The sequence below is a fragment of the Homo sapiens genome, chromosome 10 (genome assembly GCF_000001405.40).
Source record: "Homo sapiens chromosome 10, GRCh38.p14 Primary Assembly".
Taxonomy (NCBI): domain Eukaryota; kingdom Metazoa; phylum Chordata; class Mammalia; order Primates; family Hominidae; genus Homo; species Homo sapiens.
In genome coordinates, this window is record NC_000010.11 from 92,970,513 (window position 1) to 92,997,876 (window position 27,364).

The following is a 27,364-nucleotide window of genomic DNA, read 5'->3' on the forward strand; positions in this document are numbered from 1 at the left end:
ATAAGTTAACTATTTTGAGTCAGAGCTCATCTTGCTACTACCATATTTAATAGTGCTTCATTAAAATTTCAATTCATATAATTAACATTAACTTAAATATCTGTTTTATCTAAAGTAATGTTTATTTTTACTTTCTTCTGTAGTTGAGGGGAAGCTCTGTTGAACTCAGTGCCTCTCCTTAATGTCAGCTTTGTGTTGAATCACTGAATGGGGAGAGAAGAAATATCTTCGAATTCTTGTTCTAATCCTACTGTGAAGCCAGGCATGCAAATAGAAAGATGTCTATCAATAGTTGGTTTTCCCCAGCCCACCATGGCAGTGAGTAGTAAGTGGTTAGTGTGAAAATTGGAGAGGGAGCCAAAGAAGTGTTAAAATGTGGGAATGGTACATTTTGATTATTCATCTGAGAATAATGTGTGGTCTGTTCTTGCTGAGTGGAGTGTACAATAGATGTCTGGTAGGTCCAGTTGATTTATATTGTGGATCAAGTCTTCTGGTTTTTCTGCCTGCTCAAATCTGCTGTTGAACTTCTTTAGTGATTTTTTTTCTTTTTTTTTGAGACGGAGTCTCGCTCTGTTGCCCAGGCTGGAGTGAAGTGGCGCGATCTCGGCTCATTGCAAGGAACACCTCCTAGGTTCATGCCATTCTCCTGCCTCAGCCTCCCGAGTAGCTGGGACTACAGGCGCAGGCCTGGCTAATTTTTTTGTATTTTTAGTAGAGACAAGGTTTCACCATGTTAGCCAGGATGGTCTTGATCTCCTGACCCCGTGATTCACCCGCCTTGGCCTCCCAAAGTGCTGGGATTACAGGCGTGAGGCACCACGCCCAGCCTAGTGATTTTTTTTTCACTTCACTTATTGTACTTTTTTTTTTCTTTTTTTAGATGGAGTATCACTCTGTCACCCAGGCTGGAGTGCAGTGGCACCATCTTGGCTCACTGTAACCTCAGCCTCCCAGGTTTAAGTGATTCTCCTGCCTCAGCCTCCCAAGTAGCTGGGATTACAGGCACACACCACCACGTGTGGCTAATTTTTTGTATTTTTAGTAGAGATGGGGTCTCACCATGTTGGCTAGGCTCATCTCGAACTCTTGACCTCAGATAATCCACCCACCTGCCTCGGCCTCCCAAAGTGCTAGGATTACACGCGTCACTTATTGTACTTTTTAATAATTTCTATTTATATTCCCTATTTATTGATGTATTCTCATAATTTTCTTTTAGTTCTTTAGATATGGTTTCCTTTTGTTCTTAAGTTTTTGTCTTATAAGTTCAACATCTGAGCTGCCTCACAGTTTCTATTGGTTGCTTTTTTTCCGTGTATTGGTCATACTTTGTTTCTTTGCATAACTTGTCATTTTTTGTTGATAACTGTACATTTATAATAATATAAGATGACAACTTTGGAAGTTCTCACCTCTCCCAAGGGTTTGTTGTTTCTCCCATCTGTTGTTTGTTTTGTGACCTTTCTGAACTAAATCTGTAAGTCTGTGTTCTTTGTCATATGTGGCCACTGAAGTCTTTGCTTGGTTAGCTTAGTGGTCATCTGGTGATTGGATACAGATCTGCTTAAAAGCCTGGAACCTGTAAGTCCCCTAGTCTTTGCCAAAGGGCTCCGTGCACATGTTGGGGTGTGTCTTAAACACTGAGATAGGAAGTTAATCACTCTGCTTTGACTTTTACTTCCTGCTTGCACATGATACCAGTGGGCTAGGGGACGTCCCCAAATGCTGCTGGGACCTTGATCCCAGCCAGTGTCCAGGCTCTTGATACTGTCGTGAGAAGGAATTCAAGGATGAGTCAGAAAATAGTGAAAGTATGGAGACTTAATTGCAAAACAAAAAAGTACACATTCAAGAGAGGGGAGTGCAGGCACACTTGAGAGAGAGAGAGTGAGTGAGTCATGCACAAGGTGGGGTGGAGCTGCTATCTTTATGAATTTCTTTAACCAAGGGATGAAATATTCATGATGATTCCTGGAAAAAGGTGGAATTTTTTTTGGAACTGTGGTGCCACCTGTTTTTACACCAAATATGAGTGTTCCTAAAATTGTCATGGCACTGGTGGGTATGTGATATAGTATGTTATGAGTGTACATTGAGCCCTGGGTGAAACTTAGGCCAAATCTATCACCATGTTGAGTCCTGTCAGTCTTAGCCAGCATGGTTTACACCCTGTTTTTCAGGGTCTTGTCTTATCAGCCCATAGCTTCTGCAGCTATTTCAACAGTTTCCTTTGGCTAGTCACATAAAACTGCTGCCTAGAATTTCATTTTCTCCTGTCACTACCCTGTTTTATTTCTGTCTTGCACAGAGCTTCAAGGTCAGCCATAAATGAGAGCTTGGAGCCTTCTTAGGTCTTTCCCAAGTGTGTACACAGCCCTATGTATGTATGTGGCCGTTTAGATGCCCAGGAATCTGTTAGAGCTTTTCAGAGTCATCTGTGGACATTTTATTCCCTAATTTTTCCTTTTAAGCCCTTTGGTTGACCTATCGTTTGTCCCAGTTGTTACCTACCATCTCAGGCATCCTCCATGTTAAACTTATTGCCTCTAATTGTTTTTGACAGCTGCCCCTGGGGAAAAGGCTTTTTGTACTAGGCAAGTCCTGATTCAGGTCAAATAAAGACATCCCTGTAAATAGGCATGGAGTCTTCCAGGGAACCACCAGATAGGTCAAATAATGATAATTCTCTGAGAATGTGGCTTTGAAGGAGCTGCAGCTCTGTTCTGTCTGCTTTGATAGCTGGCAAGCTATAGGTTTCCACCAGAGTTTTAGAATGTTGTCTTTTGAGAGTACTGTAGAGCTGGAACAGAGGAAGAATAATGGAAATAGGGCACATTAAAATGCTACAAAGCTCATTTTTCTACCAAGATTTAGCTGTTTTTCTTGAATAAATGATGCCTGTATTTCTGCAAGTTTTGAACTAATTTTCAGAGTTCTGAAAAGGTTGATTTTGACAATTTTTGATAAGTTTTCTGGTTACTTTTATGGATGAGAAAATGTTTGGAGATCCTCCCGCTGTTATTTTTGCTGGCATCACTCCTATTGTTTCTTTCTTCTCAGAGAAATTAACTATCTCAATCTCTTTCTCTTCTGCCTCCACCCCTGCTTAAACTCAAAGCACTGGCAGATATTCCATTTCTTCTGTGATAGTCCAACTTAATTGCTCTCAGTGAATCAGGGGTTAGATAGAGGTGGTCTTCTGTGTTCTTGGCAACTTTCGTTTTTCTACTTCTGTTTCTCCTAAGGGTCCTCTTAGAGTTGTGAGAACAAGTCAGGAATTAATATCTCATAAAGTATTCTATCACATAAAGACAAAAAAAGGTGATAGGTTAGAAAGGAACTAAGAAAAGATGTGATGTGATATCCAGTCAAATAAATAGAGTACTGCCAGAAAAAAAAAACCAACAGTTTTCCTGGACTTTGAATAAATGGCTAAAATATTAAACCAAAGGTAAATGTAAAATAATATCTAGAATTGTAAGAACACTTGTTTTATTATCTGTTTCTTGTCTTTGTTGTTATTTTGTCCCATGTCAGGATGCTCGACATGCAGCAGAAGGAGAAATATATACCAAACTGAATCAAAAAATTGATGAATTTGTTCAGCTTGCTGATTATGACTGGACAATGTCTGAGCCAGATGGAAGAGCTAGTGGTTATTTAATGGACCTTATAAATTTTTTGAGAAGCATCTTTCAAGTGTTTACTCATTTGCCTGTAAGTATAAAAATTTTCAAAAATTGTTTTATGTTTGCTTACTAAAGTATATTTTAGAATTTAGTTTGAGGTTTCCTTGCTTAAACCAACTTCTTGGAGTGCATGTTTCTTTCTCCATTATTATAAATCCATTTGTAAGGAATTATAACTTAGCCAAATTGTTTGAAATTTTAATTTATTTTATTTTTAACCAAAATAACTGTAACTCTCTTTCCACCAAAGCCAAGGCAAAACCCTGAAACTGACAATATAGACTTAAATAGAAATAATCTCTAATAGAAATAATTTACATAGAGTTAACACAATTGCTCGTCTCCCTCTCCCGTCTCCCTCTCCCCACGGTCTCCCTCTCCCTCTCTTTCCACGTCTCCCTCTGATGCCGAGCCGAAGCTGCACTGTACTGCTGCCATCTCGGCTCACTGCAACCTCCCTGCCTGATTCTCCTGCCTCAGCCTGCCGAGTGCCTGCGATTGCAGGCGCACGCCACCACGCCTGACTGGTTTTCGTATTTTTTTGGTGGAGACGGGGTTTCGCTGTGTTGGCCGGGCTGGTCTCCAGCTCCTAACCGCGAGTGATCCGCCAGCCTCGGCCTCCCGAGGTGCCGGGATTGCAGATGGAGTCTGGTTCACTCAGTGCTCAATGGTGCCCAGGCTGGAGTGCAGTGGCGTGCTCTCGGCTCGCTACAACCTCCACCTCCCAGCCACCTGCCTTGGCCTCCCAAAGTGCCGAGATTGCAGCCTCTGCCCGGCCGCCACCCCGTCTGGGAAGTGAGGAGCGTCTCTGCCTGGTCGCCCATTGTCTGGGACGTGAGGAGCCCCTCTGCCTGGCTGCCCAGTCTGGAAAGTGAGGAGCGTCTCTGCCCGGCCACCATCCCATCTAGGAAGTGAGGAGCGCCTCTTCCCGGCCGCCATCCCATGTACGAAGTGAGGAGCGTCTCTGCCTGGCCGCCCATCGTCTGAGATGTGGGGAGCGCCTCTGCCCCGCCACCCCGTCTGGGATGTGAGGAGCGCCTCTACCCGGCCGCGACCCCGTCTGGGAGGTGAGGAGCGTCTCTGCTCGGCCGCCCCGTCTGAGAAGTGAGGAGACCCTCTGCCTGGCAACCGCCCGGTCTGAGAAGTGAGGAGCCCCTCCGCCCGGCAGCCGCCCCGTCTGAGAAGTGAGGAGCCCCTCCGCCCGGCAGCCACCCCGTCTGGGAAGTGAGGAGCGTCTCCGCCCGGCAGCCGCCCCGTCCGGGAGGGAGGTGGGGGGGGTCAGCCCCCCGCCCACCCAGCCGCCCCGTCCAGGAGGGAGGTGGGGGGGTCAGCCCCCCAGCCGCCCCGTCCGGGACGGAGGTGGGGGGATCAGCCCCCTGCCCGGCCAGCCGCCCCGTCCGGGAGGGAGGTTGGGGGGTCAGCCCCCTGCCCGGCCAGCCACCCCGTCCGGGAGGTGAGGGGCGCCTCTGCCCGGCAGCCCCTACTGGGAAGTGAGGAGCCCCTCTGCCCGGCCAGCCGCCCCGTCCGGGAGGGAGGTCGGGGGGCCAGCCCCCCGCCGGGCCAGCCGCCCCATCCGGGAGGGAGGTGGGGGGGTCAGCCCCCGCGCCCGGCCAGCCGCCCCGTCCGGGAGGTGAGGGGCGCCTCTGCCCGGCCGCCCCTACTGGGAAGTGAGGAGCCCCTCTGCCTGGCCAGCCGCCCCGTCCGGGAGGGAGGTGGGGGGGTCAGCCCCCCGCCCGGCCAGCCGCCCCGTCCGGTAGGTGAGGGGCGCCTCTGCCCAGCCGCCCCTACTGGGAAGTGAGGAGCCCCTCTGCCCGGCCAGCCGCCGCGTCCGGGAGGGAGGTGGGGGGGGGGGTCAGCCCCCCGCCCGGCCAGCCGCCCCGCCCGGGAGGTGAGGGGCGCCTCTGCCCGGCCACCCCTACTGGGAAGTGAGGAGCCCCTCTGCCGGGCCACCACCCCGTCTGGGAGGTGTGCCCAACAGCTCATTGAGAACGGGCCATGATGACAGTGGCGATTTTGTGGAATAGAAAGGGGGGAAAGGTGGGGAAAAGATTGAGAAATCGGATGGTTGCCGTGTCTGTGTAGAAAGAGGTAGACATGAGAGACTTTTCACTTTGTTCTGTACTAAGAAAAATACTTATCCTGTTGATCTGTGACCTTACCCCCAACCCTGTGCTCTCTGAAACATGTGCTGTGTCCACTCAGGGTTGAATGGATTAAGGGCGGTGCAAGATGTGCTTTGTTAAACAGATGCTTGAAGGCAGCATGCTCGTTAAGAGTCATCACCACTCCCTAATCTCAAGTACCCAGGGACACAAACACTGCGGAAGGCCGCAGGGTCCTCTGCCTAGGAAAACCAGAGACCTTTGTTCACTTGTTTATCTGCTGACCTTCCCTCCACTATTGTCCTATGACCCTGCCATCCCCCTCTGCGAGAAACACCCAAGAATGATCAGTAAAAAAAAAAATAATAAATTAAAAAAAAAAAAACATAATTAATGGCTTTTCCAGTTAGAAAGGACCAAGAAATTACTGGCTATTTTTGAGCCAAGAGAGTAAAAGTAAAACTGGAGCATTGTTCTATCCTGGCACGTAGTCATAGCACATCTACATTTTGGACAGTTGGTTGATGAAACATTAAAAAAAAAGATACAGCAAGGACATTTGGATATAAAGAAGCTGAAATGTTAGATTCTTCAGATGAGGACTGCAAAGACTAGAGATATTATGGTGGGATGAACATACTCTTACTAGGTATATCCAGAAATAATAAAACTGTTAAAACATGAATGCAATAGTTTTATACAAAAAAATAGGAAGAAATTTTATCAACCTTTTTATCTTATGATACGATATAGCTGAACAGAAGAATAAAGTGTTTAACCCATTTATGCTGGAGGTTGCAAATTATTTTGTGTGAAAAATCAGATCTTGGAGATGACCTTGAGCAGTGTGATATAAATAACTCCCACAAGCTTAGTGTTCCAATAATGGAATGCTAGGCATAAGTAGGTTAATCTGGAACCTACACAGCTGCGCCCAACCATCCTCTCTCTGCTTGGAATGGGGAAAAAAAAAGGTAATTTTCCTCATCCTTTACTCTTTCTCCATCAGAAACTGCTTCAAAGAACCAATTAGAAAAGTTGAGGGAAGGTGTTCCTAAAAAAAATTAATGGAAGACTATTTTAAAGAGATTGTCATCATGGATCTGGGCCAGAGAATTTTAGAAGCTTACCCAGGGATGATACTGTATTCCTACCCAGGGATGATACTGTATTCCCAACTGCTGTCTTTGAACTGAAAAAGGAAATCTATAAATATATTTAATTTTTATATCAATGAATTTTTATAGAAGTGCTTTTTATATAGTTTATACTAAATGATTGTTAAATTAATTTGAATTCACCTTGTCAGTATAAATCATGCTTCTAGCCAAAAGCAGTCCTCAAGAACAAACACATGTACGTGCTTGCAGACACACACACACACACATACACACACACACGTTTTATGTTTTAATATCTGTGTCATGTATTGCTTTGAGGTGATGGGTAGGAATTTTGTACATAAATGGAATAGGATTAAGAGAGATTATGTGTTAGAAATGTTTGGGGTAAATGTCTCACCTTCCAAGGTCACCTTCTAGGCTGACATCCTAGAGGAAACCCTGCTTTTTCATAAGACATACTCTGGTGGCATTGAGAGAAATAGAATCCTGGTCTAACTAGATCACTCATCTATCTGTTACGACATTTTGTATGGCTTTAGCTGAGTCTTCATATGCCATTTTGGATTTTTATGTCATCTAACATAGATTTTTCTATAAAGGAAATAAATTTTTATAGACCAATAAATTCAACAATAAATACAAGGTACAACCATATAAAAAGAAAATAATAGTTTACACCTAAGAAAAAAGAAAAGTGGGCTGGGTACGTTGGCTCACACCTATAATCCCAGCACTTTGGGAGGCCAAGATGGGAGGACCACCTGAGCCTAGGAGTTCGAGACTAGTCTGGGCAACATGGTGAAACCCAGTCTCTACAAAAAATACAAAAATTAACTGGGCATGGTGGCGTGTACCTTTAGTCTTGGCTACTCAGGATGCTGAGGTAGGAGGATGGCTTGAGCGTGGGAGGTGCAGGCTCCAGTGAGCCGTAATCATGCTACTGTGCTCCAGCTTGGGTGACAGAGTGAGACCTGTCTCAAAAAAAAACAAAAGAGAAAAATGGTCCTAACAACAATATATTGTTATTCAAGAATGAACTAAAAGCATGATTTTCAAGCAAAAATAATAAATTATTGACTATGGTAAATTTTAGAGTCAATAGAGTGATTATATTATTGCTTTGTATATTAGTTTTCTAAAATCCTGAAATTGTATTAAATATTCAACTAGATTGTTTTAAGCAAAGAGAAGAGGCAGAGGCATTAAATCTATTATTTTTCTAGATGAAGTATGGCATTACATTAAGCTACCATTTTTATTTAAATGTTTTAAGTTGAAAATGATTTCTTGGTTTAAGGTTATTCTTGGACCCAAATAGAGTAAAGGGCCAATTCTGGCCTTCTTTAACCCTCAAAGAAGCTTCAGACGAAGCTTATCACATTTAACTGCAAATCAGTCCTCTTAAGCAGAACAAGCCATCCTACTTACAGACATGAGTTAAGTGGTGGTTCTGGTTGGGCCCCGTGCCCTGTCTTTGGTTTTGGTAGTGTTCAGGAACAATGGAGTACGTTAGAGTCAATGGAAGCTGAGAAACCAAGGGGCACTCTTTCAAATGTGCAAATATTGTCCAATAGTGCAAAAATTTGGAGATTTTCTGGGATAGAGGTGACTCTGTCACTCCCTAACCCTGAAAGTTACCTGATTGAACCTTTTAAGCTTTTAGCTTAAAAGCTCCACCCTTAGTTTCACTGAGTATTTAGTTTCTGTCAGTCCCCTGCCAAAAGGGATCCCTTCCCCTCCCTTCCCCTCCGGTGAAGTCTTGCTCTGTCACCCAGGCTGGAGTGCACTGGTGCAATCTTGGCTCACTGCAGCCTCTGCCTCGAGGTTCAAGCGATTCTCCTCCCTCAGCCTCCCGAGTAGCTGGGACTACAGGTGCAGGCCACCATGCCTGGCTAATCAGAATATTTTCTTAGTCAAAGATTGTCATGATGTGCAATTGCTGATGACCATTGCCTAGTGAAAAGTTCCATTTGTTCCAGAAAAGTTATGATCTATCCAGTGAGATTTTGTTCTCTGCTCACAGGACATGAGAACAGTACAGATTAATAGATAATGATGGTTTTGATGGAGTCCAGGGAAAGAACTCCATTATTTTCACATATTGTGGTAGCAGTGGAAACCTGTAGGATTTGGAAAACCACAATAACCCGAATAATGTTCGCTTTAAATACCTCTTATATCCAAGGTTAGATGAGTGAGAGAATTGATTACTTCCCTTGCTGGCTGTGGTGGCTCACACTGGTAATCCCAACACTTTGGGAGGCTGAGGCAGGAAGGTCGCTTGAGCCCAGGAGTTGGAGAACAGCGTGGGCGATATAGTGAACCTCATCTCTACAAAAAATTAAAAGATTAGCCTATTGGGAGGCTAAGGCAGGAGGATTGCTTGAGCCCAGGAGGCGGAGGCTTTAGTGAGCTGAGATCATGCCACAGCTCTCCAGCCTGGGCAACAGAGGGAGACACTGTCTCAAAAAAAAAAAAAAAAAAAAAAAATCCCCTCACCTTGCCTCCAGATTAAAATACCTATTCATCTGCATTTTTCTGTGCTGTAGCTGAGAAGGCAGCCTCTCTTCTGGCTACAGGAATTAACAGCAAGCTAAATAGTATTGATAGAAATAACAAATATTTTCCCATTACCCAAAATGTTAAGCTTCCCTGCTAAATATAGTATCTTCAATTAGAATAATAAAAAGGCAAATTCACGTGAGGAATGTTTATCTTTTATTGTTTCTAGAGGTCTGAGTGCTTGAGGATGTGCATAGATGGGCTGTAGAGTTAGAAATACTTATATTTGAACTTTAGATTTGTAATTTACTAGCTATGGGATCCTGGCAAGTTGCTTAATCTCTCTGAGCCTCTTCCCTTCTGCAAAATGAGCATAATCCATTTTTCCCATAGGACTGTCATAAAATGAATGAAAATAGTATGTAGAGAAGTTGTCTGGCAGGGTACTTGGCAAAAAGTGGGTACTGTTAATAAATGTTAGTTTGGTCTTTTATTCTCCTTTCTTCCCTTGTTACAGTTTTAAAACTATAGTATTAGTTTCATTGTGTAATGAAACTTTTTTCACTTTTTTTCTTGTTATATTTATGCCTGTGTTTTAAACTTGATATTAGTTTTCATTCTTATGACTTTGTATTATACAGCCACTTGAAAATGTTCTTTATTATGAAAGGCATTCATTGTAAGGCATATTTGAATCATTATTATAGCTTGAGTTGCAGTGCTTACAATTGCTAACAGTCAGATGCTAGCTAATGCCAATGAGGTCTGATTAATATGTAATTTTATCTCTAAATTAGTACCCTTGGAAATCATGCCAATTTTCAATATTTTAAATGTATAAGTTTCCCTTCTTTTAATAATTTTTTTCTGACAATTAGAAAATATAGCCAAGTATAAAGAAGGAGGCAAAAATCACCTTTATCTTGTTAAAAGATCATCATTGTTTTAGCTGGGCATGGTGGCGGGCACCTGTAATTCCAGCTACTCGGGAGGCTGAGGCAGGAGAATTGCTTGAAGCTGGTAGGCGGAGGTTGCAGTGAGCCTAGATCGCGCCATTGCACTCCAGCCTGGGCGACAGAGCACGACTCTGTCTTACAAAATAAAAATAAAAATCATCACTGTTAACATTTTGGCAAGTATTCTTGAGGTTCTCTTTTTCTATGCATTTATGACACTATTCTAAGGTGATTGTATAAGCAAGCTTTGTTTTTTAAACAAGATTTTATATTAGCCAGAAAACTTAAACCAGAAGAATTTTTAAAAACATTAAACATTCATTCATCACTGACATGAATATAAGTAGAATAAGTTGTTGAGCAGCTTGGACATATCTTGTTATTCTTCATGACTGCCAAATGGAACTCAGTAACGTTTTACTGTGAACTTACTGCCTAACCACCCAGCACTGGTCTGTTTCTGGAAATAACAGCTAACATTTTCTTCCTTTATAAATGTTAATTGTGTACTCATTTTAATGAAGGTAGTTTATTGATTTACCGGCCATAGGGGAGACATGTAAATGACAGTGAGTTTTAAAAATGTCTTCACATGTGTTTATCACTAAAGGTACCCAATTTATGCAAATATTTATACTAACACATGGTTGTCTTTTATGGTAGAAGTAAATAGAAGATATGGAATGATCAATTTGTTCATTTTTCTTCCTTTCTAGAAACTCTTCATTGTTTTGTCTTTAAGTATAATGTAATATTCTTTGCTTAATTTTGCTACTACTCTGGGGATATTAAATTAGTAGATAAATCTGGTTCTAATTTGAATTTTAAATATCAAAAAATTTATTCCCAGAAAGATATCTTTTCCTTTGCTTTCAAATATGCTTAACTTTTGATTTTCTGCATTAATGGAAGTGGTATGATGGACAATTTAAAAAAAAGACATGATCGGCTGGGTGCGGTGGCTCACGCCTGTAATCCCAGCACTTTGGGAGGCCGAGTTGGGCAGATCATGAGGTCAGGAGTTCGAGACCAGCCTGACCAACATGGTGAAACTCCGTCTGTACTAAAAATACAAACATTAGCCGGGCAGGGTGGCACATGCCTATAATCCCAGCTACTCAGGAGGCTGAGGCAGGAGAATCACTTGAACCCGGGAGGCAGAGGTTGCAGTGAGCCAAGATTGTGCCACTGCACTCCAGCCTGGGTGACAGAGCAAGACTCCGTCTCAAAAAAAACCAAACAAAAAAACCAGACATGATCTTTAGTAATAATATGAATTTACTGTTGGCATATGGTTCTCTATGTGGTAATTTGGGGTATTTTTCAAGAAAATCTCACATCAGAGATTAGATGCCTAAAAAGCTGTCCATTAAAAAAAATCTATTAACAGGAGTATTCCTCTGAATATCTTTTACTCTAAGATTAGTAAATGGCCTCAAGATCATGTTGGGAAATATATATCCCAAGATCCAATTGTGCACACTTCTTTCCAACTGTGCCTTGACAGTGGCATCACATTGGTAGCCATGGTAGGCTACCATGATTAGACCATTTTTTTAAAAATGGTCTAGAAAATGATTAGACCATTTTTTTAAAAAAAGGATACAAATTAAGGCTTTTTCCCCAGAGAATCATTGTTACATATTTACTAGCACACCACTAAATAAAGCATAACTTTTAAAATCATGCTGTCAAAGAAAAATTGTTTAGTTTTTATTAACTCAAGAAATCAAGCACAGTATATGCTCAATAATAAGATTAAAACTATTATAGTAGAAACTTCTTTCAAGATGGGGAAATGTACAAGTGTTACTCTATTTAAACAGCATCTTCTTCTCCATCTGTCCCTTTTAAGGTGTTTCTCTTTTCAGGTATTTCCTTTGAAGAGTTTTTTTTCCTTGGTTTAATTGTTTGCTTTGGGCTGTAGTGTTTTACTGATGTGCCAATTTAGTATCCTTTGTAAATTATTTTCCCACTAAATGTTTCTGATGTTACTAAATTTTTAATTTGCATTTTTAGTTTCCATTAATGATTTTAGAACATAATATGCTTTCTTTAATTGAGAAACAAATATATGCTCAAGAATAAATAAAGATACATTATTTGGATAGAAATGGATAGTATCTAACTTTTAAAATCATTCTCTCCTTAAGAATTCTTTCTGAGAATTCAGCACTATCTTGAAATTTTTGAGATTTGGGTTTTAGGCTTGATTCTTCCAATTAACCGCTATTGTGAAAGCAGACAAATTATTTAACCTCTGGATTAATTTGCTAATGTCTATTTTATTTCATAGAGCTAAAAATAAAGGTTGTTCTGTTTTGCTTTCATTCCAGTTAATACACATAAATGGTGTGATAAGTAGTCCAAAAGAGTTTGGAATGGAAAATAGACCCTCTCCTTTCCCTTTCCCCATTTCCACTCCCAGTCTTCCAGACTGCTGTTTTTCACTATTTGGTTTTATTTCTTCTGGTGGTTATCTTATTAAAAAACAGAGAATATCTAGTGAGCCTGTGAAATACAAAAGTACAAGTAGCAACCTTTCCCTTCCCCTTTTTTAAAGTATTGATTGTTACATTTTAAAATCTCTTCTATTTCTTTCTTTCTTCTTCTTTTTTTTTTTTTTTTTTGAGACAGAGTCTCACTGTGTTGCCCAGGCTGTAGTGCATTGGCGTGAGGGATCTTGGCTTACTGCAACCTCCTCCTTCCGGGTTCAAGTTATTCTTGTGCCCCAGCCTCCTGAGTAGCTGGATAATTACAGGCGTGCGCCACCACGCCCTACTAATTTTTGTAGTTTTAGTAGAGATGGGGTTTCACTGTTTTGGCCAGGCTGGTCTCGAACTCCTGGCCTCAAGTGATCCACCCACACTGGCCTCCCAAAGTGATAGGATTATAGGCACGAGCCACTGCGCCAAGCCTATTTCTTTATATAAAATAGTTATACTGTACTTCTATTTCTGGTTCTTTCTACTTTAATCAGTATCTTAATTCCCTTCTATTTGAAATAAGGGAGTTAGCCTTCCTCTCCTTTGCTCCATCAGTTCTTCCATCTATTCTCTTCTGATAGCTATACTATTATTTTTATCTTTATTCAGGTTATTAGTATTTACATTCTGACAACCACAATCAAATCTATCCTTTCTCGTAGGCTGGCTTTCCAAGCTAAACACCAGTAAACAGTACTGGTGTTTGTTATGATTATGCCCATATTGTTCCCTTTACACAAAGCATAGTATGCTTGCATTTTTTGTTTTCCTTTCATTTTGGGGTCCAGTATCCAAGTTCTGGGCACTTGAAGGAGAATAATTCTAGCATCATGGCCAAATAGATTTTTTAAAATTATACTCCATTATTTAATGAAATTATACACATTTTAGTTGACTTAATATTTAAAACATATTTTTTTCCTTTTTGATGAGTGAATATTGTACCTTCATCATATTGAGTGTTCTAATTTCCTTTCCTTCAGTTGTGTGAAAATGTCTTCTTTCCAAGAGGCCTCTTTTAAGAGGTCTTTGTCCCTAACCAGTACCGGTTGCTCTCTAGAATTGGGGCATAGCTGTTACCCTGGGACTTTTGTTCCTTGCTCTCCTGTGGTAGGAACTGTTTCTTGGATCCCAGGCTTCTTGTTTTTTTGTTTTGTTTTGTTTTGTTGTTGTTTTTTTAAAATTACCAGTCGGTTTTGCTGAATTCCCGTAAAACTTCAGTAACTTTAATAACTCTCCCACAAAAGGGAAATATACTATTTAAGTCTTTGCATATTAGAAAATGTCTTCTGTCTTCATGCTTGATTGATAGTTTGGCTGGTTATATAATTATAGGTTGATTAGCTTTTTCTGTGTACTTTCATTGCATTTCTTCATTGTCTTCTGGCATCCAGGTTTTAGTATCTGTTTTAAAATTTGAATTCTTCAGCCTGGGCAATGTGGCGAAACCCTGTCTCTACAAAAAATACAAAAAATCAGCCGGGTGTGGTGGCACACACCTGTAGTCCCAGCTACTTGGGAGGCTAAGGTGGGAGGATCGCTTGAGCCCAGGAAGTCTAGGCTGCAGTGAGCCATGATTGCATCACTGCACTCCAGCCTGGGCAACAGAGCAAGACCTTGTCTCAAAAACAAAACAAAACAAAACAAAACAAAACCTGAATTCTAAGAAACATCAAGAGAATGTATTCCCTTTCCTTCTTCTCCCTCTTCCTCCTTTTGCCCCATCCCCCTCTGCTCTCCTGTGCTCCCCTTTACTTCTCCCTGCATCAGGATCCTCAGCTCTCCCCAAAATATTCTTTCATTAGGGTAATTGCCTGTGCTCTCTGGCCCTCTGGGTGGGGGATCATTGGTACAATTGTTTCAGAAATCTTCAGTTATTTTCCCTGTTTTCCATCCCGTTTCTCATTTTTATCCTCATTCATACCTGCAACTCTGGACTTCTAATGCACAGCTGGCTCCAAGCTCTACTGTACTACTTCTCTGTTAGCATATAACGGGCAGTGGCTTTCTTTTCTCTGTTTCATCTGCTTTCTGTCTTGCAGAAAGCACCCGTTCATGAATTCCCACATACACCTTCATTTTTTTCTGCTGTTGAAAACATTTTATTCTTTTTTGAAGTTCTATACTTTTTATTTTACTCGTATCTCAGGATACGAGTAAACATTAACTTAGTCTGCCATCTTGATTCTGAACAACTTGCTTCCTTCTCCTAGAAGATTAGATCATCTCTAAAGTCCCTGTATATAATATTGTATGTTTGTAAGCATCATTCTTTCAGACAAATGTAACGTTTCAATCCAAATGTTGATTTACTTATTCTGACACCTCATGTCCTCTTTTAGCTCTGCACTTTTCTGCCCTTTATTTTTTGGTTCACACTTTTTTCTAAGTATATGGGTTCAGATGGCCTTTTACATGATTGAAAACTGTAAAGGAAAAAGGTAGTAGTCAACAGTACAATCATGGCTTTAATAACCCTTTATTTTATGTGACACCAAAAAGAATTGAAAAATACAAGGATTGCAATTTTTAAATTATGACGTAGGCAGCTTTGAATACATTTATGTGTTTTCCCTATCAAATGAAAATATAACCATATATTGTATATATATATATATCCTTAAAAATTGGTTTTTCTTACTTGAATGTTAATTTTTAAAAATTTATAATGGCATTGATTAATGTTGATGTGATTTATTGAATCTAATTCATGTAAAAATGATATATTGTGAACTGTGATACTTTCATTATCACATCCTGTGACATACATGGTAGTTATATGTTGAATGTTGTTGACTGACTTTTATTGACTAGGTTACTAAATTTTATCTGAATTTCATCTTAACTTTGTGGCCTTTATATCTCCTAAGACATCTTTATATACACTTTGAAAGATTAAAGAATGTGGAAAATATAGTTGAATAAAATAACTATGATGGTGGGATAATTTTACTAATGCAAATAAAATTTATTCGAAGTTAATCTAGAAAAAAGTTAGTGTTTATCTAGGGTCTATTCCAGTCTTCCAGAAGAGTTCTTTGTCTGGTTAACACAACTGCTGTCCCACTGCCTACTAGGGTTAATTAGGTTGACCAGCCTGGCTAGTGAGTATCTGCTTCTTCCATTTCTGCTTGTGGTTTCTCCTTTACTCATTGTGTATTTGGTGAAGAGGGCAGCTTCCCATATGGAGGGGGACCTTCAGTCTAGGCGATACTGGAAGTTCAGCTTCCACTAATACATAAATTCTGGTTTCATTGACCTAATATAATAAAGTTAAATCCACATATCTGGGTAAATATCTTTTTCTAAAAAAAAAAAAAAAAGTACTTGAATACCATATATTTTATTATTAAAATTTGAAAAGTAAATTAGGTAATTTAAAAAATTAAATAGTACTTTAAGGATAGTTTAATTAATTCTTATTATTTATGGAATTAATGTTTAATCCTTAATGTTTTTAAGGAATAAGCCAGTACCTTATAATTAGTACAGAACTACGGCAGGGGCATATATGTATTTAAATTGAGACCAGTGATTTAGTTTTTACTTTGACTTGCTATTCACTCCTTAGGGGAGACAAAACATTTAAATAATTAGCTGTAAAATAATTTAGTGTGCCGTCTTTCCTCGAGTAATTTATTTAAGCTGTATTAGCAGATTATGTGAAGAAGTAGACTTATCCTAAGCATCTTCAGAATAATATATTCTCTATAGTTTTGTCGTTTTTGAAGAAATTGACATTTCTTTCTGTATTAAAATCATCTGTGGGAAGAGCTTCTTGTTAAATATTTAGATTCCAGTGCTTGGCCCTAGACCTAACAACTAAAATTTTTGAAGCTTAACAAGCTGCATTTGTTGCTTAATATTTGAGAATCACTGCTCTGTAGCACAGAACCTTGTCAAAGAACTGATGTGTTCTAAATTTGCTTATTCAGTAGACATAAGTGCTAAAGCTCTTGGTTTTTTAATTCTGACTAGACAACTTGATGAGAGAGACAAAAGTTTGGAGGAGGATTTGTCTAATTAGTATGGATGTAAAAACTCATGCCTAAATCTTCAAAATAAAAAATTATGGTCACATTTATGTGATAGATGAATGCCTCTAAATTAGCAACAAACACAGAAAGAACTTGCTTGTTTTAGAGTATATTCCCTTTTGCTACTTTAAACACTGATTCTGCTGTGATTAGAATACATTTTCCTTTTTTATTTGATTGCCTTGCTGACTTCCTTCTCAGACTAACAACAATGATCATGCAGCCATGTCGGTAAGTAGATATAAACTAAAGCTAGCATGTACATTAGAAAATAATGAATTTCCTGCAGGCTTATTTTTCTCTGCTTAGGTATTTAAATTAAAGGCTAATTACTTTGGCAACATCCTTGATAAATTTTTAGTTTTGTGGAAACCTAAATTTGAAGGTAATATTAGTTGTTTGTGAAGCAGTCAAGATTCTCTGAGACTAGATTGTAAAAGCACTGCACTCACCTCAAATGCATCTTAATATTAAGGTGCATTTGGAAACTTCTCTGTGGTCTTTCCTCATCTGTAAAATGAGGTATGTGGCAACATATACCCTACAGATTTTTGTGAGCTTAAATGAAATAGTATACCTAAAATGTTTAGAAAAGTGCTTGGCATATAATAAATACTCAAAAAATATTAGTTGTTATCGTTACTTGTTTCAAAGATGGTTTATGCTTTTCCTGAATGCTTTTTCTCTACTACCCTGATCCCAAACTGCACTCGTAGAAGTCTAACCCAGTGCATGACCCAGTGTGATTCATGACCCAGTGCAGGTATTTCTTTCTCATCCCAGCCCAGTATTGGTCTTCTGAATTGCCTTAGCTCTTACCTTTTTTACGGCTTTATCGTATTTTGCTTTTTTTCCGTATTTGTCTTTTTCACCTTTACTTGTGAGCTCTTGACAGAATAAGAACTAACAAGTATTCTTTGAATGTATAAATATTGAAAATTCTTCTTAGGGAAAAACAAAATCTTATCTAGCATTTGAAATGCAAGTGTTCCTAACCTATATCCTCTTCTTTCTGTTCTTATTCCTGTTACTGAAGTTCAAGTTTTGATTAATGTAATTGTCTTCTAATTGGTCTCTACCAACAGTGTCTCCTTACTTCAGTCCATCCTATATACCAGTGCTAGATTATTCTTTCTGAAGCACAGTCTAATTTTATTTCCCTATTCAGAAACATCAGGGGTTCTTGATTATCTATTGAATTAAGTAGAAATTCCACAGGCTAGCAAAAAGAAAATTATCTCAGCCTCTTTCCACATATATTTCTGAGGCCGGACACGGTGGCTCATGCCTGTAATCCCAACATATTGGGAGGCCGAGGCAGGTGGATCACTTGAGGCCAGGAGTTCAAGATCACTGCTGACATGACAAAACCCCATCTCTACAAAAAATACACACACACACACACACACACACACACACACACACACACGCATTTCTGACCATTACTAAACATGTGCATCCAAACTGGCATATTCATTGTGTCTTGGATCTATCTTGGATTTTCTGTCTTAGCTTTATTTATAACTGTAAAAATCCTGGATCTCTTCCCAAAGACATTCTAATGCAACCTCTTTCACAAAGCCTTTGCTGATTCCACTTAACTGCATGTGGATACTTTGTCTTGCTTTTATGGTCCTGTTTTTATTTTATACTACTGCTGTTTGTAGACTTGCCTTCTTTTCCTTATTGTAGAACTTACACCTCTTATGTCAGGAACTACATCTATTCATCTTTGTATATTCGGTAATACTTAACACAGTGTCTTACACAAAGTAGTTGCTTGATAAGTGTTTTGTTAAGTATGAAAGAGTGAAGAAATGGACAACATGAAGGTCATTTTCTTGTTTGTATAAAGCGTATAAAAGTATACTGCCTAAAAAATCAATTTCCAAATTGAAATTTGTCAAATAGAGAATACTTTCTAGTTTTGAAGTGAAGGTGCAATCTATTATTCTCAGGCAGAAACTTGGAAAATATCTGTATGAGAGTTTAGTAAAGATGATACCAGTACTGATTAGAAATATTTGTATTTATACTTTACTCATTTCTTGCACACCTCAGTGAAGGAAAAATACAGTAACTAAAACCACAGCTCTCTAGACTCAACTGTAAATTTAGTAGTGATCAAAACAAAAGACCCTTTAGCACCAGAATAACTGTTGCAAATTCCCAACATTAAGGAGAAATACTTTGTCCTGTTGAAGACACAGACCCTTAGGCTTTCATTTGCCCTTTTTACTCACTCGATATAATAATCATTGAGTGCTTATTAAGCTTGCTAACAGACTTCCTGCTGATGAACCATATAATTCAACATACAGAAGTGATATTCAGAAGTAAAACTGACCGGCCATCCAAAAACTCAAATTGTTATTGTCAGTTTAAGGAGGCAGGGACAGATAATGGGATCAGTTTTAGATAAATTTGCATTAGAGATTTTGAAAGTTTGGCACTTGAATATCGAGTATTTTCAAAAAGTTCTTTATGTTGTAGTTATTTCTGTGGGAATCAAAGTGGTATTTCTATGACATATTTTGATATCCATTTTTATATTATATCCATTGTTATGAGTTAATTCCAGGTATACAAAAATCAACATGAACAAACCATTGACAATATAATATATCCCTGTATTGGAAAGAGTTAAAAAAACTTTGAGACAAAATATTTGAAAAATTTGGAAATAGTCAAGGTCCACTCTTTGAAATAGAATTTTTTTCTTATTAAGCTTTTTCTTAATGTTATAAAACAGTTGATTTTCACTACTAGATGTTAATTTTTTAAAATCTTGCTTCTTAGTTGAAAATGAACATATTTGTATTTCGTAACTTTAATCCTTTTAGACATTTACTAAGTTGTCTAAGTTAGCCAAGTTCTGGCTAATCTTGGTGAGAAATTTAATTTCATAAATTATAAGTCTTAAGTTTGTATATAGCATAGCATACTTAAATATTTTCCTGATGTCAAACATTGCAGAAAACAATATTTTGAATTGCCCTCGGTCAGGGCTTAGTTGGAAGTAGTAGTAATGAAAGGGCTTTTAAAAGGAAACAACACGAGAGTTTTAGTAGGAAGCCAGTGGATTAGGAAAGACCTATATAAAATGCAATTGAAGCTGTAGACCTTAATGAGAGTTACTTCATTCATGTTAACTAACAGAAGAAAGCAAAGCCACGTTGTGTTAGGAAGGTTGAGACTGTTTTTCTGTGTTTTTTTTCTATTTTAAGTTCCAGGGTACATGTGCAGGATGTGCAGGTTTGTTATATAAGTAAACATGTGCCATGGTGGTTTATTGCCCCTGTCAACCCATCACCTAGGTATTAAGCCCAGCATGCATTATCTGTTTATCCCAATGCTCTCCCTCCCCCAACCCCAGGGAGGTTGAGACTTTGACTGCACTCAGTCTCTGAGTCATTTTTTCCCCCATCATAACCCGTTTCACAGAACATGTTATTCAAATGTGTGCCTCAGCAAATGAAGTTCTGCTTGTACTAGACTCTGAGAGTCAATATCAAGAATTGAAACCTAAATACAAATTCATGAGTGACAAAGACCTACTTTGTGCTATCTTTTTGTGTATGGCTGTTTATAATAGTCTGCCACCTACATCTATGAAAGGGAAGCCAGTTTGCTTGAGTGACATTTGTCAACTTTACTAATTAATGATTATATGTAAACCACTTCTGTTGTCTAAACCATTAGTGATTCTGGCAACTTTTTTTTTTTTTTCCCAAGACAGAGTCTGGCCAGGTGTGGTGCCTCACACCTGTAATCCCAGCACTTTGGGAGGCCGAGGTGGGCGGATTATGAGGTCAGGAGTTTGAGACCAGCCTGGCCAATATGGTGACACCCCGTCTCTACCAAAAACACAAATATTAGCCGGGCATGGTCCCTCACGCCTGTAGTCACAGCTACTCGGGAGGCTGAGGCATAAGAATCGCTTGAACCTGGGAGGCGGAGGTTGCAGTGAGCCGAAATGGTGCCACTGCACTCCAGCCTGGGTGACAGAGTGAGACTCCATCTCAAAAAAAAAAAAAAAAAACAAAAGTTAGGGTGAGTTTGGCAATATCATGGGACTGCCATGGCAGAAGCAGTGATACTTGTAGAAAGCTAAAAATTTGGATACTGCATGCCTTCTAAGGCCATACTCAAAAGATTGTTTAACAAACAAAAAGACTGCCAAAGTTTGATAAGCCCTATGATTGGGATAGGGGAAGTTTTGAGGGAAGTAAAAATACGCCATGTATTATGCAGTCCTGTGGTTTTCCCAGTTCAGGAAAAAATTTTTCAACTTTAAGATGATCACGTTCTATTTCTCTCTCTCTCTCTCTCTCTCTCTCTCTGTATGTGTGTGTGTCTTAAGAGTAGACATTTCTGTTACTGTCTCATACCCTTATGATTGGTAATTGTTGGAAGGAGAACAACCTGAGAGGGGAGAATGGGAATTTATAGTTGACTGTGGGATTGTGGTAAACTGATGTGTCCCAATTCATTCTTTCAGGGCTGGAAGTAGTTAGAGATGGACAGAAATAGAGTATAAGAGGAATATAGAGTGTAAAGAGGTATTTGGGGGAATGTTGTGGGTGTTAAAATGAGTATATTTTGATCTATGAATTTTAGAGCATAATTTCAAAAATTTGTCTTCAGGTGGGCCGATCCCCTGGGGTCAGGAGTTCAAGACCAGCCTGGCCAACATGGTGAAACCCTGTCTCTACAAAAATACAAAAATTAGCCGGGCATGATGGCAGATGCCTGTAATCCCAGCTACTTGGGAGGCTGAGGCATGAGAATTGCTTGAACCTGGGAGGTGGAGGTTGCGTGAGCCGAGATCCTTCCATTGCTCTCCAGCCTGGGTGAAAGATCAAGACTCTGTCTCAAAAAAAAAAAAAAAAAAAAAAAAATTTGTCTTCAAGGTAGTATTAATGTTATTTGAACTCACTAAGGGAATTCATCTTGATATTTAAACCTTTATAACATATCTATTCTATATTATTGAGAATCAGACATTTCAGTGTTATGTACAGTGTTCAGCCAGAAAATGAATTAAAACTGATCTTACTAGGTACAGAAATTCTTGTGCATTTGTGAAATAATCTTGGGGAAAGTTTCATATTCTGTGTTTTAGGTATCTTTTTCCTGATTTCATAACAGTATTTACATTTGAACAAGATGTTCCATATAGTAAAACTCTAGATTAGTGGTTCTTATATAAAATGGAAGAGTAACAGATTTCTTGAATTAAAATACCTGTTTTTCAACTATACCTCTTTTTTAATATTTCAATTAACTATTTTTAATTTTTAATTTTAGTGTTTCCATCTGATGAAATACCTCATTCTTTCAGTATGTGTATTTTAAAATTTAAATTTAAAATTTAAAAGAGCTACAATTTATAACATTTTAAAATACACATACTCTTTAGGAGAGCTACAATTTATAACCTTTTAAAATACACATACTGAAATGAAATTAAATTCATTAATTTATGAATTTATTCATTCATTAATGAATTAAAAATTTAATTCATTAAAATACTTCCCTTCTTTTGCTTCTGAAAAAGACTGTTTCATATTCTCATAACTGAAATTTATGTAGCAAATGATGATAGTGAGTTTGTATAAAATGATAATATTTTACTGCGTTAATTTAGGTAACTTTAAAAAGCCATACAGAATCAGAATTAATGAAGTCACTTATCAGTGTTAGGTTTAATATCCAAATTGACCATGATTTTATTTCGTTTTTCCTTTTTTCTTTGACAAGAGTTAGACTTTTTAAACAAAACCTTTTATCAATGTAAAGAATAATATGTTGTACAATATATTTGAGTCTGTGTATTTCTTTTTACTTAAGTAAAAAAGTAGTTTATTGTACAAAGTTAACCTTTTGTGGGAATATAAATAAAGAAAAATGGACTCTCCTGGAATCATTAAGGATGAGTAGACCAATACGGAAAGAATGTGATTTCAAGAGCACATTTTAACATTAAATGTACTTGAGAGAATGAAAGCAGCATTGTAAAGTGCTTTCAAATAATTACTGTTGAAATCAAACCTTTTTTTAATAGACCTTTGAAATAAGAAAATGGTAAGACACAAATGAAAACTTCAAATGAAAATTTAAATGGGCCAAATTAGTTTTTAAGTGTTCTACATTTCTCTTACAATTATATTAGAGTAGATCATGAAAACATTACTTTCAAAACAAACCAGTTTTGAGCCATAATCTAATAAACTATGTTGTGTTTTTACCTTGTTATTTTATGATATTTCACAGGAAACAGAGTGTCTTTAGCCTAATCTATGATAGTAAATTATTTTGGAAATTTGTCTTGACATACAAGCAGATGTGTTTTCTTAATTCCTTTTAAACTGAGGGTTGGTGGTTTGTGGTTTATTGTTCCTGTGATTGGCATTAAAAGCCTTATTTCACAGCTTGCAGTGAGGGACTATTGGGTAAAGAGTGGCTGTGTTCCACAAACTAAATTCAAAAAGTGTCAATCAAGGTCTCACATAGGTTACTTAGAGAATGAGTTTTCTTACTGATTTCACCAAATGTCGCCTCATGCTGTCTTTGATTGGCACAGCCTGGCAGGGAGGATGGATGAATCTGTCACCGGCTGGTTAATTGTGTTACTGGTCTCAGTCTGACATCAGGTCTTTGACTCTTAAGTGGCTCAATACAAAACAAATTAGCAGATTGTAGTCATATTTCTCATTCTATATGCTTTGACTTTGTTGAATGCAGTCCATAAATCATATTGACTGACACACAAGTAAATGATGAAAGCTGTTTTTGAGACATGAATCTAGAAAGCAGCACTGTGAAGGTGCCATGGAAGGATGCATATGGTTGACCCTTTGGGAATTTCCTAGGAGCCAAATGTCTCTTTACCACAATTGTTCTTAGAAGAAAAGCTTTTCGGTAATGCAAAAAGGATCTAATATGTCAGCAGATTCTCTTTTACAAGTCCTTTGAAATATAAGAAGTTTGTCTAAGGGTTTTCTCTCTTTGCAAGTTGTTTTCAGCCAAATGTTAGAGCAGGGTAAAAAAGTAGTTAACTTTAAAAGCTTAGCAGGTGTTTTTACTTATTTATTGAACTTTGTAGAGAGAGGGAAAATGTTGGTAATAGTTGCAATTAATTTTTCAGATGAGGGCAAGAGAAATTTTGAGGTGCTTGAAATTTATTAAATGTGCTGTGTTTTCTCAGTCACTTCACTTAATTATTTTGGCTTTTTTTGTTAATGTTAAAAACTAGAGCGTCTCTAATGAAAAGGGCTAGTTTTTAAAAGATCGTTGTAAAAGTACTCAGACTATTTTTATTCTAGAAAATGATATATTATTAAAGGCATCAATAATAATAATAATAATAATAGTGTTCAGAAGATTATACCAGAGTGTGCCAATGGCTATAGACATTAAAAATAAATTTTCAAATATATTTTCGGGTGTGTAAATTTTTGGAGTGTTAACATTTCTATCTAAAAATATGTAGTACATGAAGTTTAAGAATAGTTGTATACATTTTATAGTTACAAAGTAGACATTTAAAAAATATTGTATAATCTTATGGAATATAACTTTTAAAAATTTTAAAGAATCTGAACTTTTGATATTGTGAACTTAAATTTTGAGCTATTTATTTCATCTGAAGATTTATAAAATATTTTATAAATATTTTAATCTTCTATCTTTGAGAACAATAAGCCTGGATTTAGTATGCCTAATCAAAAGAAATTCAATGTTAGGATTTTAGTATTACGCATGATATTTAAATAAAGAGCTAAATTTGTGTGTGTGTATGTATGTGTGCATGTGTGTTTTCATTACTTATTTCCACCAGGTTTCTGGAATAGCCTGTGTCTACTCTTACCATCGTTTTCAGCTCCAGTGCTATTGCTATGTAATCATTTGTAGCGTCTGAACCCATGTTAAATTTTAAAAGTTTACATAAAACAATACCACTTATATTGTACAGTGTGTTTGCTTATGAAATTAATTTAATAGTAATTTTCTGGCAATTTATTAATCAGCTTTTGTAGTTAGTACATGATAGTGGCAGCATGCATAGGACATGGAGCTGATTTGATGGAGAAGCACATTAAACTAAAATGCACTAGTTGTTCCATTAGGTCAAAATGACATTTCCATTAAGTATTCTGAAGCCTATTACATTGTAATTAAATGACATGCCATTGATTTCTCCTTTCTCTGCTTCCCCACTTCTCATTCATATTGATATTATTCTGCTTGGGGAATGGAGCTGCATGTCTCCCAGACTAATTCCTCTTGAGTTTGGGGGATCTTGGATCATGCTGGGTTTTGCATTGTTTGTTACATTCCTTTTTGGCAGTTCATCAGTATCTGTCAAATATATTGTTTGCATCGGCTTTTATCTCTTAAGTTTTCGATTGAGAAATTGACATTCCGTTTCACATATGCAGTTTTTCACTGTGCATAGTGTCTAAATGCAAAAAACTCATTCAAAAAGTTGTTTGTTTCTAGTCTGACTTTTAATGTGTGATTTAACAAATGTTGTAATAAGCATCTTGAAAATGTATTTATGTTCTTTATTACCTTTTTCACAAATCAACCCTATGTAATATGTTTTTGTACTAATATATTGTAACATTTCTGTTTGGGAGATTTTGGTCACGATTTTGTAGCTTTCTGGCCTTTGAGATAAGTAGGAAAAATATAATTATCAAATATGACTGGGTAAATATTTGTTAATGCAAACGAGGCAAAACATGGCATGTCTTCCAAAAGTAATTATTTCTGATGATATTCATAGATCTTTGAATCCTATCATAGTAGTCATTCCATCATGAAATCACATGATTGTCAGTTGAAGGTAGCCATCCTAGGAGCAGTATTATGCAGGAGAACTTTACCTAAAAGAGTTTTTATAATATTTTAAACCTCTAGTTGAAATGCAAAACCTGTTTAAAAAAATAATTTATCTTTGGGAGGCCAAGGCGGGCGGATCACAAGGTCAGATCGAGACCATCCTGGCTAACATGGTGAAACTCTGTCTCTACTGAAAACACAAAAAATTAGCCAGGCGTGGTGGTGGGCACCTGTAGTCCCAGCTACTTGGGAGGCTGAGGCAGGAGAATGGTGTGAACCCAGGAGGCAGAGCTTGCAGTGAGCCGAGATTGCGCCAGCCCTGGCCACAGAGTGAGACTCTGTCTCAAAAAAAAAAAAAATTAATTTACACTAAAAGTGATGTAGTTTTGTGAGTCAGCTGTGTAATGCAGAGGCTAAACATTTAAAAAGGCCATTTTTAAGAAAACAATTTAGGCCATCAGTAAAGTTCATGTAGAGTTTTAGGAGATTATTATAGTAGGAAATATTTTTTAATGATGTATATTATACTGAAAGAAAACCACAAGTATTCAACCACATACTTCCAACCTACCAGATGATTTAAAAACTGAATTTCTAAAGCTAAATGCACATCTGTAGATAATCTTGAAGTCATATTGGTAGACAAACCTTTTTTTTTCTGCCAGTGATTGAAGCTATGCTATAGACTAATGTTCTGATTAGAAGTAAGGACTTATGATTCAAAGGGTATTTTGAATTTTAGCTGTAATTTAAATAGCAATAATAGTAAATTATACTGTTAACTTCCTTTATTCTGACTTGGTTAATTAGCTAAAGGAGAGATTAAGGAGCATTAAATGGATAAAATGTTCTGTCAGTATGACTTATTTTATGTCATAAGTGTCATTTTAATATGCATTTCTAAAGTGCTTTCAGTATTTCAAGAGATCTGAAATAATAGTTTTTAACTGGTATTTTAATTTTCCTTTGTGCAGTTAGAGCTTTAATGATATTTATATCCTGAGAAAGCCAAGTAAACTAAGAATATTAATGTTAATTTCTATGATATAAAGGTATAACCACTCAGAATACAGAAACAGGAAGGAAAGTAACCACTATTGTACCAAGCATAAGCAACAAAAAGAATGCCAGGTGTATGATTTTTCTGATTCTTTATGATGTATTTCTATGTGTGTTTATTTGTTTGATTTTTGGTTTGATTGTTTTAAACAGGGGAAAGTTGCTCAGACAGCTTGCATGTCAGCCTGCCAGCATCTGTCAACATCCTTAATGCAGATGCTACTGGACAGTGAGTTAAAACAAATAAGCATGGGAGCTGTTCAGCAGTTTAACTTAGATGTCATACAGTGTGAATGTAAGTACTATATTGGTTTATTCTTATGTATTACTAGGAATCTATGCTTAAATTATATGAAAAAATGTATTTAGCAGGATAGTTCAGAAAGGAGGGAGAAGGCCTGGTTCAGCTAAACTTTTAGCAGCCTTAGGAGTAGGGCTAACTTCCTGAAACAGGAAGATAAAAATATCTCAGCTTCACATTTAGGGCCTCTAGAGAGAGGCACTGAAGTGGCATTCCAGATTGGTATATTTAAAAACATGATTCATTTTCCCCATT

The 27,364-nt window shown here is 37.9% G+C and overlaps 1 protein-coding gene across 12 annotated transcripts in view, besides 1 other annotated feature; it reads left to right on the top strand.

Annotated features, from left to right (window-relative positions):
• The window catches only part of EXOC6 (exocyst complex component 6), a 232,660-nt gene that overhangs the window by 143,682 nt on the left and 61,614 nt on the right, over positions 1–27,364 (top strand). For all 12 annotated transcript variants that reach the window (NM_001013848.4, NM_001319194.2, XM_017016344.3 and 9 more), the window contains 2 exons: positions 3,541–3,720; positions 26,962–27,103. In NM_001013848.4, the coding sequence (NP_001013870.1) occupies positions 3,541–3,720; positions 26,962–27,103 (322 nt within the window). The remainder of the gene's footprint in view (positions 1–3,540; positions 3,721–26,961; positions 27,104–27,364) is intronic.
• Positions 20,410–20,499: an enhancer, noted in NCBI's record as "active region_3780". NCBI's record gives its function as "activates an Ori minimal core promoter by ATAC-STARR-seq in GM12878 lymphoblastoid cells {active_cell/tissue: GM12878}" and the evidence as "EXISTENCE:reporter gene assay evidence [ECO:0000049][PMID:35858748]".